We start from the raw sequence: 13,254 nt of genomic DNA on the forward strand, positions 1-13,254 counted from the left end.
TGTGCTTGATTGACCTTGAACAATTTTTCTATGATGGATTTATTTTCATGAGGAGCTGTTTTTCCTTCAGAATTACCACTCAGTATTTTTTTGAAATGTATTCTTTAAATGATGGAATTACTAATATTTCCCTATGAATTCTAGAAAAATAATAATGCACAAGATTTAATTTTTGTCTTTAACTAGAATGATGTATTTGGTTAAGAAGATAGTCCAAGTTAAAGGCATACATTCAAGCTAGTGGCATATTCGGAAGAGCAGGCAAAGATAGTTGGTTGCAAATGGGAAATTTAAGCCATGATCTTAAAAGGACAGAATGGATATTTGTTACTTAAACTATGGGAATAATTGATTTTTTCACCTTCCCTTTCTTGGATTTTTTTTTTATTATCAGTTTGGTTACTTTAACCTTACTGTCAGTTATATTGGTTCTTTTTTTTATGTCTGAGTTAAAACATTTTACCTGATTTTCATGTCTTCATTTTCTAAATCAATTATGACAGTGTTAACAATCAACCTTTTATTTTTCTCTACTGAATAACGGCGTATTAAATGGTTTGAAGACTTTTTCTTCCTCTACCTCTCTCCTAAATTCCTCATTTACAAAAGAAAACCCAAAACAAAACAAACAACCCCAACAATACCAATTGTAACTCCCCAGACCAGTTAGATCATAGATCCAGATCTCATTGAAAATTATCCTTTTGGCTAGGCATGGTGGCTCATGCCCGTAATCCCAGCACTTTGGGAGGCCAAGGTGGGCAGATGGCTTGAGCCCAAGAGTTTGAGACTAGCCTGGGCTACCTGGTGACACCCCGTGCCTACAAAAAATACAAAAATTAGCTGGGCGTGGTGGTGTGTGCCTGTGGTCCCAGCTCCTTGGGAGGCCTGAGGTGGGAGGATTCCTTGAGCCTGGGAGGCGGAGATTGCAATGAGCTGAGATGGTGCCATTGCACTACAGCCTTGGGGACAAAGACCCTGTCTCAAAAAAAAAAAAAAAAAAGAAACAAAATTGTCCTTCCTAGTTAAGAACTTCTGTATTGAAGACTTTCCTGTATATAGCTGTAGAGAATTAGTCTGAGTTGTTCTTTATTAAAGAGGAGGAAATAGAATGTTCTGAATGTGGGAAGAAAAGCCACCTTTATATTAGTATATGTGAATGTCTTCTTTCTTCTTCCTTTTTTTTTTCCCCAAGAGACAAGGTCTCACTGTGTTGCCCAGGCTGGATTCGAACTGTGATTGTCTTTTTTCTCTGGCTACCAGGAAACTCTTGGCTTTATTTGAGACAGTAATTGTGCTGATTTTACAGTTTGATCATGATGATGGTGATGATTATTACTTACCTATGTATTCTGTGCCAGGTACAGGGGCTGGGGCTTTATATGAATCACCTTGTTTAAATCTCAAATGGCTGAATGAAGTATTATCTCCATTTTACAAATGAGGAAATTGACTTGGGTGAAATGATTTGTTCAAGGTCACACAGTAATTTGTGCCTTGGGGTTTTAACTTAGGTCTTTGTGACACCAGAACCTGCTCTCTTAACCTCTCTCTTATGCTGCTCTCCTTGATCCTGGTTTGACATTTCTATTTTACTGAGTGTGAGGTTTAGTCTTTTGTCTCAACACTGCCTCAGAGCCTGTTGGGCAATAGAAAAGAAATGTGTTTAAACATATATATGGCTTTAAACCCAGTGCTTCTGTGGTGTTGTGCATAACAACTGGTGTCCCCTTTTTTGCCATTAAAACAGTTTTTTGGCCTGTGTGATCCTAAGTCTAAAGAATTGTGTTGACAGCATTTGCATATCCAGCATCAAGATTCATTTTGGAAAGTTTTGTACTAACAATGTGCTGTACTAATGTGCTTCTTCCATGGGCTGCTCTACAGCTGTTTTTCCCATAGCTAAATTATGTAATCATGTTTCACTATTGGTTTCTTATCTGTTTCTGTTGCAAGGGTCACATAGTAATTGGTCAAACTCAGTTTTGTGTTTTAATCTTGGTTTTTATTTACATTTTTGAATCTATCTGTATAACTGGTTGCTAATGAGCATCCTTTACACAACTCTGCTCTCTGTATTCCATGCAAGGAACCTTTCTCTTTTTTTGTGTGTGTTAGTTTTGTAGTTACTTACAAGTCTAAATAAGAGAATAAATTCAGTAAATACCGCTAGAGGATTATGAGAATTTTAGAAAAACTAGAGCAATGTAGTGTAGGGGAAGGAAAAGCAAAATGAAAGGCTGCCACCTTTGTGTGTGGAAAGCATGTTAGAGGCTCTCCATTCACCTGACAAAACCGTCCTCACAAAAGATTGGGCCACCAAGTTGTCTATGCTGAGGTGCATTTGAAGAATTTGTAACCAGTTACTGTTTCATTGTTTTTCTTTTAGCTTTATAACAGTTGCATTCCAGTATTGCAGAGCATGCTATTTACAGCTGCTAGGGACTTAGCCAGCCTCTTTTCTAGCTTTTTCTTAGTAACAGGTGGGATCACCAGATAATGTTGTTCTTCAAGGAAAGAATGCACTGTACAGTTTTCACCTAAGATATTAGGTAATTTCTTTCTATAACTCAGCAAATCTCTCCATATTAATATACTGAGAGCTTAATATTAAACACATTTTTTTCTCACCAAATTAAGTGTTGTATTTGCCTTGAATCTAGGAAGTTGTTTTTTTTTTTTTAATTATTTTATACGTATTTGTTAGGGTCTTGCTATGTTGCCCAGGCCTGGTCTTGAACTCCTGGCCTCAAGCAATCCTCCCATCTGAGCCTTCCAAGGTGCTGGGATTACAGGTGCATGCCACCATGCCTGGCCAGAAGATGTTTTTATTAGTGTTTAAAGGTATGAATGGTGTCACCGGGAGCTGATATATTTGTTTTCATGATGTTGTACATTTATTTTTGTGCAGTAACATACATTAAATGATTGTAATTTTGTGTGTTTTTAGAACACTATTATGAAATATCCAGATAATACAGAATCAGAGCTGGAAGGCAGGCAGCTTGAGGATTATCTAGTCCAGTGTTTGCCAGATTTACCTGATGATAAGATTTACTTGGGGCTGGGTGCGGTGGCTCACGCCTGTAATCCAGGCACTTTGGGAGGCTGAGACGGGTGGATCACCTGAGGAAGGGAATTCAAGACCAGCCTGACCAACATGGAGAGACCTTGTCTCTGCTGAAAATACAAAATTAGCCGGGCATGGTGGCACATGCCTGTAATCCCAACTACTCGGGAGGCTGAGGCAGGAGGATTGCTTGAACCCGGGAGGCGGAGGCTGTGGTGAACTGAGATCGCACCATTGCATTCCAGCCTGGGCAACAAGAGCGAAACTCCATCTCAAAAAAAAAAAAAAAAAAAAAAAAAAAAAAGATTTACTTGGGTCACTTAATAAGAGTAAGGTCTTAGGCCTCACCCAGAGACCTCTGAATTGGGAAAGAGCTTTTGGAATCCATGTCGTTTACAGTTTCCCTGGGGTACTTCTTATGGTTAGGTGAGTTTAGGAAAAACTGGTCTAGTCAGCCCCTTGATTAAGGAAAGTAAACCCTGAGAAAGAGAAAAAACAAAGTAAATGACCTATTTAGGGCCACCTACCTAGCTAGTAGCATCAACTGAACTAGATCCCATGTCCCTGACTTCTAGATTGGAGTTCTTCCTGCTCCAGCAGGCTGGTCTTCTGGTCCCAAGTTATTCAGAGATGAAGGTAGCAGCATCATTGAAAAAACAAATAGTGAGTGTTACCGTTGGTTTTTATTGGTCTCGTGATTTTCCTGTCAATATGTTAGATGCCCTGGATTCAAGCAATTTTTGACAAGCATTTTATTATATAGAAAATAAGTCCAAGTGTGTGAGCTCATTTTTATTTAATTTTATGTTTTATTTTTATCTTAGTTTAACTGAGTTTTTTACTTTGTTGTGGTTAGACTAGGAGGGTATTTTAGGAAATGAGTGTTGATACCTAGGTTATTTGAAGCCTCAGGTAATTAAATATAAGATGTTTTATTTGACTTAGCTTATTTTGGATATCCTTTAATGATTTGTTTTCTCATTGATTATTTCTTCTGTGAGAGTAATGATGATTGGATTTGGTTAGGACTGTGGGGGTGAAGCTTCCTTGACTTTTCATTTCTGTTCACAGTACATACAGATCTGTAAAATTTCCATGGAAATGTTCATCAAAGCATTTGAAGCCCATGTCCTATTCGTGCATTTGTGTACCCTCTGTACCACACACCTCCCAAGTTTTAACAAATAATATAAGTGAAATTCTCACAGAGAATCATGCTGATTTGTAGAAGTTATTGCGTTACTAGGATCACCGAAGTCTGAGCATAGACATTTAGGTGAGGAGAGACCCTAGTTAAATACCAGCCCTGACTAAGTAGGAGCTGGATGAAGCGGGAAAGGAACTTGTCTGCGTTTTCTCTTGGTTTTTATGGGGATTACACACTATCTTTCCTGAAGCATTCTTAACCATTGTGAGGGGCTGGTTAATTTTAATTATTAGCAAATCTAAACACAATTTAAAATATCATCAACCAAGAAAACCCACAAAACAGACTGAACTGTTCTGTGGGTTTTCCTGCTTTTACTTATTTATTTTCAAAACAGGGTCTTGCTCTGTTACCCAGGCTGGAATGCAGTGGTGCTAGCTAGCATAGCTCACTGCAGCCTCGACCTCCCAGGTTCGAGTGATCCTCCCATCTCAGCCTCCAGAGTACCTGGGACCACAGGCGTGTGCCACCACACCCAGCTAATTTTTTTTTTTTTTTTTTTTTGAGATGGAGTCTCGCACTGTTGCCCAGGCTGGAGTGCAGTGGCACGATATCGGCTCACTGCAAGCTCCACCTCCTGGGCTCATGCCATTCTCATGCCTCAGCTTCCCGAGAAGCTGGGATTACAGGCACCCGCTGCCATGCCCGGCTAATTTTTTTTGTATTTTTAGTAGAAACGAGGTCATGCCATGTTGTCCAGGCTGATCTTGAACTCCTGGGCTCAAGTGATCTGCCTTCCTCGGCCTCCTGAAGTGCTGGGATTACAAGCATGAGACACCATGCCTGACCCCTGCTTTTATTTTCAATATAAAATTTTATGTTTACAAGCGTGAGCCACCACACCCAGCCTTACATAAACTTTTAAGAGCAAACCTGTAGAGTGTAATTAGATGCGTAGTTACTTATAAAGTGGTATATATTTTTCAAATGAGCCCTTTTCTCTAAATATATATATATGTGTGTATGTATATGTTATTGACAGTAAACTTTCAATTCATTAAGATTTGCTTGACATATAAAGAGTACTATTAAACTCAAACATGTGGAAGTGGATCACTAGGATTGAATACAGTTTTTTAAAGTATTGTCTTTTCATCTCTTTTTGTTTTTCTCAGAACACACAAACAAGAAACCCAAATCATACCAACACTGAAAAGAAGAGACAATAAGAAGCATTCTTTCTTTCAACATCACAGACATTGGCAACTCTAGGATGTCTATACAGAGGGATAAAAAGGGGTGGCAGTTGGCTGGGCGTGGTGGCTCATGCCTGTAATCCCGGCACTTTGGGAGGCCCAGGGAGGTGGATCACTTGAGGTCAGGAGTTCCAGACTGACAGTCTGGCCACCATGGTGAAACCCCGTTTCTAATAAAAATACAGAAAAATTAGCTGTGCGTGGTGGTGGGTGCTTGAATTCCCAGCTTCTTGGGAGGCTGAGACAGGAGAATCACTTGAACTTAGGTGGCGGAGGTTGCCGTGAGCTGAGATCACGTCACTGGACGACAAAGTGAGACTCTGTCTCAAAAAAAAAGGAGGGGGTGGTGGCAGGCTTTCGAAGGAGGAACTAGAGGTTTGTGGTCTAGCTTAGATGTTGATGGATAATGGGGATGCCAAACCCTCTCCCTGTGTTACATTAGTGCTATGACTGAACATAAACACTGCTGTAATGGACGGTGAGATCTTCGTGTCATCCTATTTAACCCTCCCTTGCTGTCATTCGGAGGTGGGAGTGCTTCTTTTTGAATTCACATGCTGTGGGGAGGATAGCATCTGTTAATGCAAAGGTTAAGAACAATGTGCTCTTCCTGGATCTGTTTTGGACAAGTAACTTATCCTCTTTAACCCTAAGTTTTTTTCAAAGTAAAATGGGGATATTTTCTAACTCATATGGTACTTAGTAAGAATTATTGTACTAATAAATATATAAATGTTTCTAACAGTACCTGGCACTTTGTGCTTAACCAGTATTTTTATTATAACAATTCTTTCTGTAGGCTCTTGGTTGTTATCTTAGTCTGTTTGTGCTGCTGTAACAAAATACCACAGACTGGGTAACTTAAAAATAATAGAAGGTGGCCGGGCATTGTGGCTCATGCTTGTAATCCCTGCACTTTGGGAGGCCGAGGCGGGTGGATCACCTGAGGTAAGATCACCAGCCTGGCCAACATGATGAAACCCTGTCTCTACTAAAAACACAAAAAATTAGCCAGCTGTGGTGGTGGGCGCCTGTAATTCCAGCTACTCAGGAGGCTGAGGGAGGAGAATCTCTTGAACCCATGAGGTGGAGGTTGCAGTGAGCCGGGATTGCGCCACTGCACTCCAGCCTGGGCAACAAGAGTGAAACTCTGTCTCAAAAAAAAAAAAAAAAAGAAATTTATTTCTCAGTTCTAGAGGCTGGGAAGTCCAAGATCAAGACACTGGCACTGGCGTCTGGTGAGAGCCTTCATATGGCATCCTCACATAGCAGAGAAATGGAAGGTGAAAAGGGCCTAAGCTAGTTCCCTCCAGCACTTGTATGAGGCGCTGGTTCAGAGTCCCCATGGCTTAATCACTTCCCCCAAAGGCCCCACCTCTTAATATCACTACTGTGGGGATTAAGTGTCAACATGAAATTTTGAGAGGACGCATTCAAACCATAGCAATTGTTCTTGGTCATTCTCTTGACTGGAGCCTGATAGTCAAGAGAGACATTTTAGCGTGTGTCCTTATAATTATTATTGGTGTTGAAATCTAAAAGTGGCTAGGCTCGCTGGGCGTGGTGGCTCATGCCTGTAATCCCAGCACTTTGGGAGGCCTAGGTGGGTGGATCACTTGAGGTCAGGAGTTCAAGACCAGCATGGCCAACATGGTGAAACCCAGTCTCCACTAAAAATACAAAAATTAGCCGGGCGTGGTGGCATGTGCCTGTAGTCCCAGCTACTTAGGAGGCTGAGGTGGGAGAATTGCTTGAACCCAGGGGGCTGAGGTTGCAGTGAGCCGAGATCATGCCACTGTACTCCGCCTGTGCGACAGAGCGAGACTCTGTCTCAAAACAAGAAAAAAAAGAGTGGCTAGGCTGGGTGCAGTGGCTCATGTCTGTAATCCCAGCACTTTAGGAAGCTTTTAGGAAAGCTGAGGCAGAAGGATTGCTTGAATCTAGGAGTTTGAGGCTGCAATGAGCTGTGATTGTACTACTGCATTCCAGCCTGGGTGACAGAGCAAGAGCATGTCTTTTTTAAAAAAAAAAAAAAAAAGTGACTAGTTATTGTAGGTTTTTTCTTTTCCTTTTTGTTGTGATTGAATCCTAAGCTTTGTTATTTTCCTAGCAGTTGACAAGGTGACTACATGCATATATATTTTTAAGGAAAACAGAACAATTTATTATAGGTTCTACTTTCCTTAGAGTAAGAATACTGTGTTTTAAAATAATTCTTCATTCTCTTTAATCATAAACAACTGAAAAAGACAACAAGTCTTTTGAGTTGTTTATCCGCTCATCCGTTGATAGACATTTAGACAGTTTCCACTTTTTGGCCATTATGATTGGTTATTATGAATAATGCTGCTGTGAACATTGGCATGCATTTTAAAAGCAAGTGCTTGTGGATTTTGGAAGCCCTTGAATAACCAAAGACTTTTAAGACTAAAGGAAGATCAAAAAAGATAAAATATTTTAACACTGATTGCATAAAAAGTATAAAAAATGGTAATGCCTAATATAGCAAGTTTGTATTGCTTATAGCAGTGTAAATTTATAATGATTTTGGAAGGCAACTGGGTGTCATAAAAATGATTTAGTATTTTTTTCCCCTGGAAATCTTAATTCAGTGATCCAAGAGAAGAAAAGAGCTATGTTAGCTTTTTATGTTGTATGTGTGTTGCAGCGTTATCTAGAAACAGTGAAAAATTGGAAGTAAATATCTAACACTTCAAGGCAAGGAGTGGAGGAGAAAGAGTTAAGAAAATTATAAATGTGAACTATTTCCAACCATTCAGTGATAATCTTGAAAGCCACATAGCAATATGGGAAAATTTGCACTGATTATTTGCACGGAATATAGACATGCAAAAAAATATATATATGTATACACTGGAAGGTAACGTGGAAAAAATGAAAATAGTTGATGTATTAGGGTGGGGTGATCATAGCCAGTCTTTGTGAAAATCTCCTTGTTAACTTTGTACATGATATACCTGGAAAAAATTCAAATCTGCTAAGAACATTATGAATCCTGATCTTGTGAAAACTAACCATTGCTCGTATTAAGGAACTCATTCCATTTCTCTTGAGGAACATTTTACTGCTGAAACAGTTGGTTCTTTTTTAAAATTTTAAAAATTGAGATATAATTCACATATCTTAAAACTCACCCTTTTAAAGTATGTGATTTGATGCTTTTTGGTATGTTCACAAGGTTGTGCAGTCATTACTACTGTCTACTTACAGAACATTTTCATCACCCCGAAAGAAACTCCATACCTCTTTGCAGTCACTTCTCATTTTCTGTTCCCCCTAGTCACTGGCAACTAATTTACTGTCTGTATGGATTAGCTTATTCTGGACATTTCATATAACATGTAAATGAAATGTGGCCTTTTGTGGCTGGCTTCTTTCATTTAACATGTTTTCAAGGTTCATCCATGTTGTAGCATGTATCAGTATTTCATTCCTTTTTACGGCCAAATATTCAGTTTTATAGATATACCACATGTTGTTTATCCACTCATCAGTTGATGGGCATTTCGATTGTTTCCACTTTTTGCCTATTAATAATGATTCTATGAACATTGGTGTGCATGTTGCATTCTTGACAAATCCCATTCTAGTCTGAAGATAGTTCAGTGGTCTCATAGAGTAGGACTGTGATTTAGTTTGGGCATGTTATTGGGGTGAGTTCTGAGCAACTTAAAAGTGTGTGAGTCACAACTACCTTCCTTCCATTGGTCTGTACTGGGCTTCTGCCTCAGTGCCCCTGCTTGGTATGTCTTCATGAAGGATGTTTTAAATAATGAGCAATACTAAAGGCACAGAAAACCAACCTATTGCAAGTTGGCCATAGAGCTGGAGCAGGGTCTCAGAAGCCCTTCTGTTAGGCCAGATGTTAATCTTTTAGTGTTAAGAGTGTGGACATGTATTTCCTTCTTTCTTTTTTTTTTTTTTTTTTCGAGACAGTTTCACTCTTGTTGCCCAGGCTGTAGTGCAATGGTGCGATCTCACCTCACCGCAACCTCCGCCTTCCCGGGTTCAAGTGATTCTCCTGCCTCAGCCTCCCAGGTAGCTGGGATTACAGGCACGCACCACCACGGCCGGCTAATTTTGTATTTTTAGTAGAGACGGGGTTTCTCCATGTTGGTCAGGCTGGTCTTGAATTTTCTTCCTCAGGTGATCCATCCGCCTTGGCCTCCCAAAGTGCTGGGATTCCAGGCGTGAGTCACAGCGCCCGGCCATGGACATTTATTTCTAATTCTCTTGGATATATACACGGGAATAGAATTGCTGGATCATATGGTAATTCTATTAACTTTTTGAGAAACTGCCAAACTGTTTTTCAAAGTGGCTGCACCATTTGACATTCCCATGAATAATGTATGAAGGTTCTAATTTCTCCAGCATCCTCACCAGCACTTGTTATTGTTAAAAAAAAAAAAAAAAAAAAGAATGCCATCCTAGTGAGAAGTGGTATCTCATCGTGGTTTTGATTTGCATTTCCTTAATGACTAATGAAGTTGGGCATCTCTTCACGTGCTTACTGGCCATTTCTATAACTTTGGAGAAATGTCTATGCAGTTCTTTTGCCCATTTTTAACTTGGGTTATTTGTCTTTTTATTGTTGAGTTGTAAGAGTTCTTTTTATATTCTGGATACTAGTCACTTGTCAGATATATGATTTGCAAATATTTTTCTCCCATGCTATATGTCGTCTTTTTACTTTCTTGGTAGTGACCTTTGAAGCAGAAAAAGGTTTTAATTTTGATTGAGTCCAACTTGTCTTTTTTTCCTTTTTTTTTTTAACTCATTTTTTGAGCAACGGGGTTTTGCTATGTGCCTAGGGTGGTCTTGAATTCCTGGCCTCAACCGATCCTCCAGCCTTGGCCTCCCAAAGTGCTGGGATTACAGGTGTGAGCCACTGCAACCAGCTCTATTTTTTTTCTTTTGTTGCTTATGCTTTTGGTGTCATAGCTAAGAAACCATTGCCTAATCCAAGGTCACAAAGATTTATGCCTATGTTTTCTTCTAAGAGTTTTATAGTTTTAGCTCTTTCATTTAAGTCATTAATCCATTTTGAGTTTTTATATATGGTGTGAGGGATGGGTCCAACTTTATTGTTTTGCATGTGGCTATTCAGTTGTCCCAGTACTGTCTGTTGAAAATACTATTCTTTCTCCATTGAATTGTCTTGACATACTTGTCAAAAATCAATTGGTAACCAGGCACGGTGGCTCACGCCTGTAATCCCGGAACCTTGGGAGGCTGAGGCAGGTGGATCACTTGAGGTCAGGAGTTCAAGACCAGCCTGGCCAACATGGTGAAACCCCGTCTCTACTAAAAATACAAAAATTAGCCAGCGTGGTGGTGCATGCCTGTAGTCCCAGCTGATGAGGAGGCTGAGGCAGGAGAATCGCTTTAACCCAAGAGGTCAAGGTTGCAATGAGCTGAGATTGCACCACTGCACTCCAGGCTGGGTGACAGAGCAAGACTCTGTCTCAAAAAAAAAAAAAAAAAAAAAATTGGCCATACATTTGAGAGTTTACTTCTGAACCTTAAGATCTGTTCCACTGATCTTTAATTTTATGTCAGTACTACACTGTTTTGATTACTGCAGCTTTGTAATAAGTTTTGAAATTAGAAAGTTTGAATCCTCCAACTTCATTCTTCCTTGTCAAGATTGTTTTGGCTGTCAGGATTCCTTGCATTTCCATGTGAATTTTTCAGGGATCAACTTGCCCATTTCTGCAAAAAAAGGCAGTTGGAATTTACATAGGGGCATTGCATCTGTAGATCAATTTAGGAGTATTGCAATGTTAACAGTACAAAGTCTTCCATCCATGAACGGGGATGTCATATCATTTATTTAGGTCCTCTTTAATTTCCTTCAACAACGTTTTGTAGTTTTCAGTGTGCTTGCAATCCTTTTGTTAAACTTATTCCTAAGTATTTTATTTTTTGATGCTATTATAAATGGAATTGTTTTATTAATGTTATCTTCAGATTGTTCATTGCTTGTATATAGATATACAAGTGATTTTTGTATGTTGATCTTCTATCCTGCAACCTTGCAGAACTTGTTAGGTGACAAATGGTTCTTAAGATAGAAAAATGCTTTTAAAAAACATGAGTTTGTTGAGGTTATCTTACATTTACTTCTTTAATTTGCTTGTAGTGGATTTTGTTTTTTTAAAAAATGTAGGGATTTTTACTTGCCACTTTTATATGTAGATATTGAAATATCCACAATTGGTTATTGACAGTCATTTAGGAAATTTGATAGGAAAGACTAAATTTTTTTTTAAGACAGGGTCTCATTAGCACATAAATACGTATTAACTGTCTGACACAAAATCAAGTATTAGTCCAGGAAGAAACGGATATGGAATTGGGAAGATATACACCATCAGGCACTTCTGTGTTTTTGTTTGTATTTGTGACAGGGTCTCCCTCCATTGCCCAGGCCAGATTGCAGTGGTACAGTCATAACTCACTGCAGCCTCAAACCCTGGGCACAAGCGATCCTTCCACCTCAGCCTCCCAAGTAGCTAGGACTATAGGTTCCTGCCACTGTGCCCAGCTTATTTTAACTTTTTTTTTTTTTTTTTGGAGAGACAGAGTCTGGCTATGTTGCCCAGGCTGATCTTGAACTCCTGGCCTTAAGCAATCCTACTGCCTCAGCCTCCCAAAACACTGGGATTACGGATGAGTCACCATGCCTGCCATAAAAGAGTAAGTTTTCTGTCCCAGATTAGATAGGAAAAGAAGAAATAGGTTGTATAAAATGTCAGTCAAGACAAAAAATATGCCTGGCTGGAGCTTAGGAGTTTAAAAGCAAGTCTATTTCTTTCTTTCTTTCTTTCTTTTTTTTTTTTTGAGACAGAGCCTTGCTCTGTCGCCCAGGCTGGAGTGCAAGTGCTGTGGTGCGATCTCTGCTCACTGCAAACTCTGCCTCCTGGGTTCAAGCGATTCTCCTGCCTCAGCCTCCCAAGTAGCTGGGACTACAGGCGCCTGCCACCACACCTGGCTAATTTTTGTATTTTTAGTAGAGGTGAGGTTTCACCATGTTGGCGAGGCTGGTCTTGAACTTCTGACCTCAAATGATCCACCCACCTCGGCCTCCCAAAGTGCTGGGATTACAGGCATGAGCCACCGCGCCCAGCCTGAGCCACCGGCCAAATCTATTTCTTTCTACTATTTAGAGTGGCTTTTTATCAGTCTAGGGACTTGGGATTGGAGATAAGCACAGAAAGACTAGCTAATATCTAAATGTTTTCGTAAACCAGGTGTTGTGGCACGCACCTGTAGTCCTGGCTACTTGGGAGGCTGAGGTGGGAGGATCACTTGTGCCTGGGAGTTCAAGGCTGCAGTGAGCAAGCTATGATTGTGTCACTGTACACCAGCCAGGTGACAGAGTAAGACTCCTGTATCTAAAAATAAAAAGTTTAAAAATGATTTTGGGCTGGGCATGGTGGCTCATGCCTGTAATCCCAGCACTTTGGGAGGCTGAGGAGGGCCAATCACCTGAGGTCAGGAGTTCGAGACCAGCCTGACCAAGATGGTGAAACCCCGACTCTACCAAAAATACAAAAATTAGCTGGGCATGGTGGCGGGCACCTGTAATCCCAGCTACTTGGGAGGCTAAGGCAGGAGAATTGCTTGAACCCAGGAGGTGGAGGTTGCAGTGAGCCGAGACCGCGCCATTGCATTCCAGCCTGGGCGACAGAGCGAGACTCCATCTCAAAAAAAAAAAAAAAAAAAAAAAAGACTTTGGGCCAGACATGGTGGCC

General features: G+C 40.2%; 1 protein-coding gene across 3 annotated transcripts in view; it reads left to right on the top strand.

The window, feature by feature from the left end:
* CNNM2 (cyclin and CBS domain divalent metal cation transport mediator 2) overlaps positions 1–13,254 on the top strand; it is a 171,929-nt gene that overhangs the window by 3,659 nt on the left and 155,016 nt on the right. The window contains exon 2 of one of the 3 annotated variants that reach the window (NM_199077.3): positions 5,393–5,666. The exons of the other annotated variants lie outside the window; for them this stretch is intronic. Within the exon in view, the coding sequence (NP_951059.1) occupies positions 5,393–5,430 (38 nt within the window). The 3' untranslated portion in view covers positions 5,431–5,666. Of the gene's footprint in view, positions 1–5,392; positions 5,667–13,254 lie in introns of those variants that run through there. 3 annotated transcript variants of the gene reach the window in all.

Source organism: Homo sapiens, chromosome 10, assembly GCF_000001405.40.
Source record: "Homo sapiens chromosome 10, GRCh38.p14 Primary Assembly".
NCBI classification, from domain to species: domain Eukaryota; kingdom Metazoa; phylum Chordata; class Mammalia; order Primates; family Hominidae; genus Homo; species Homo sapiens.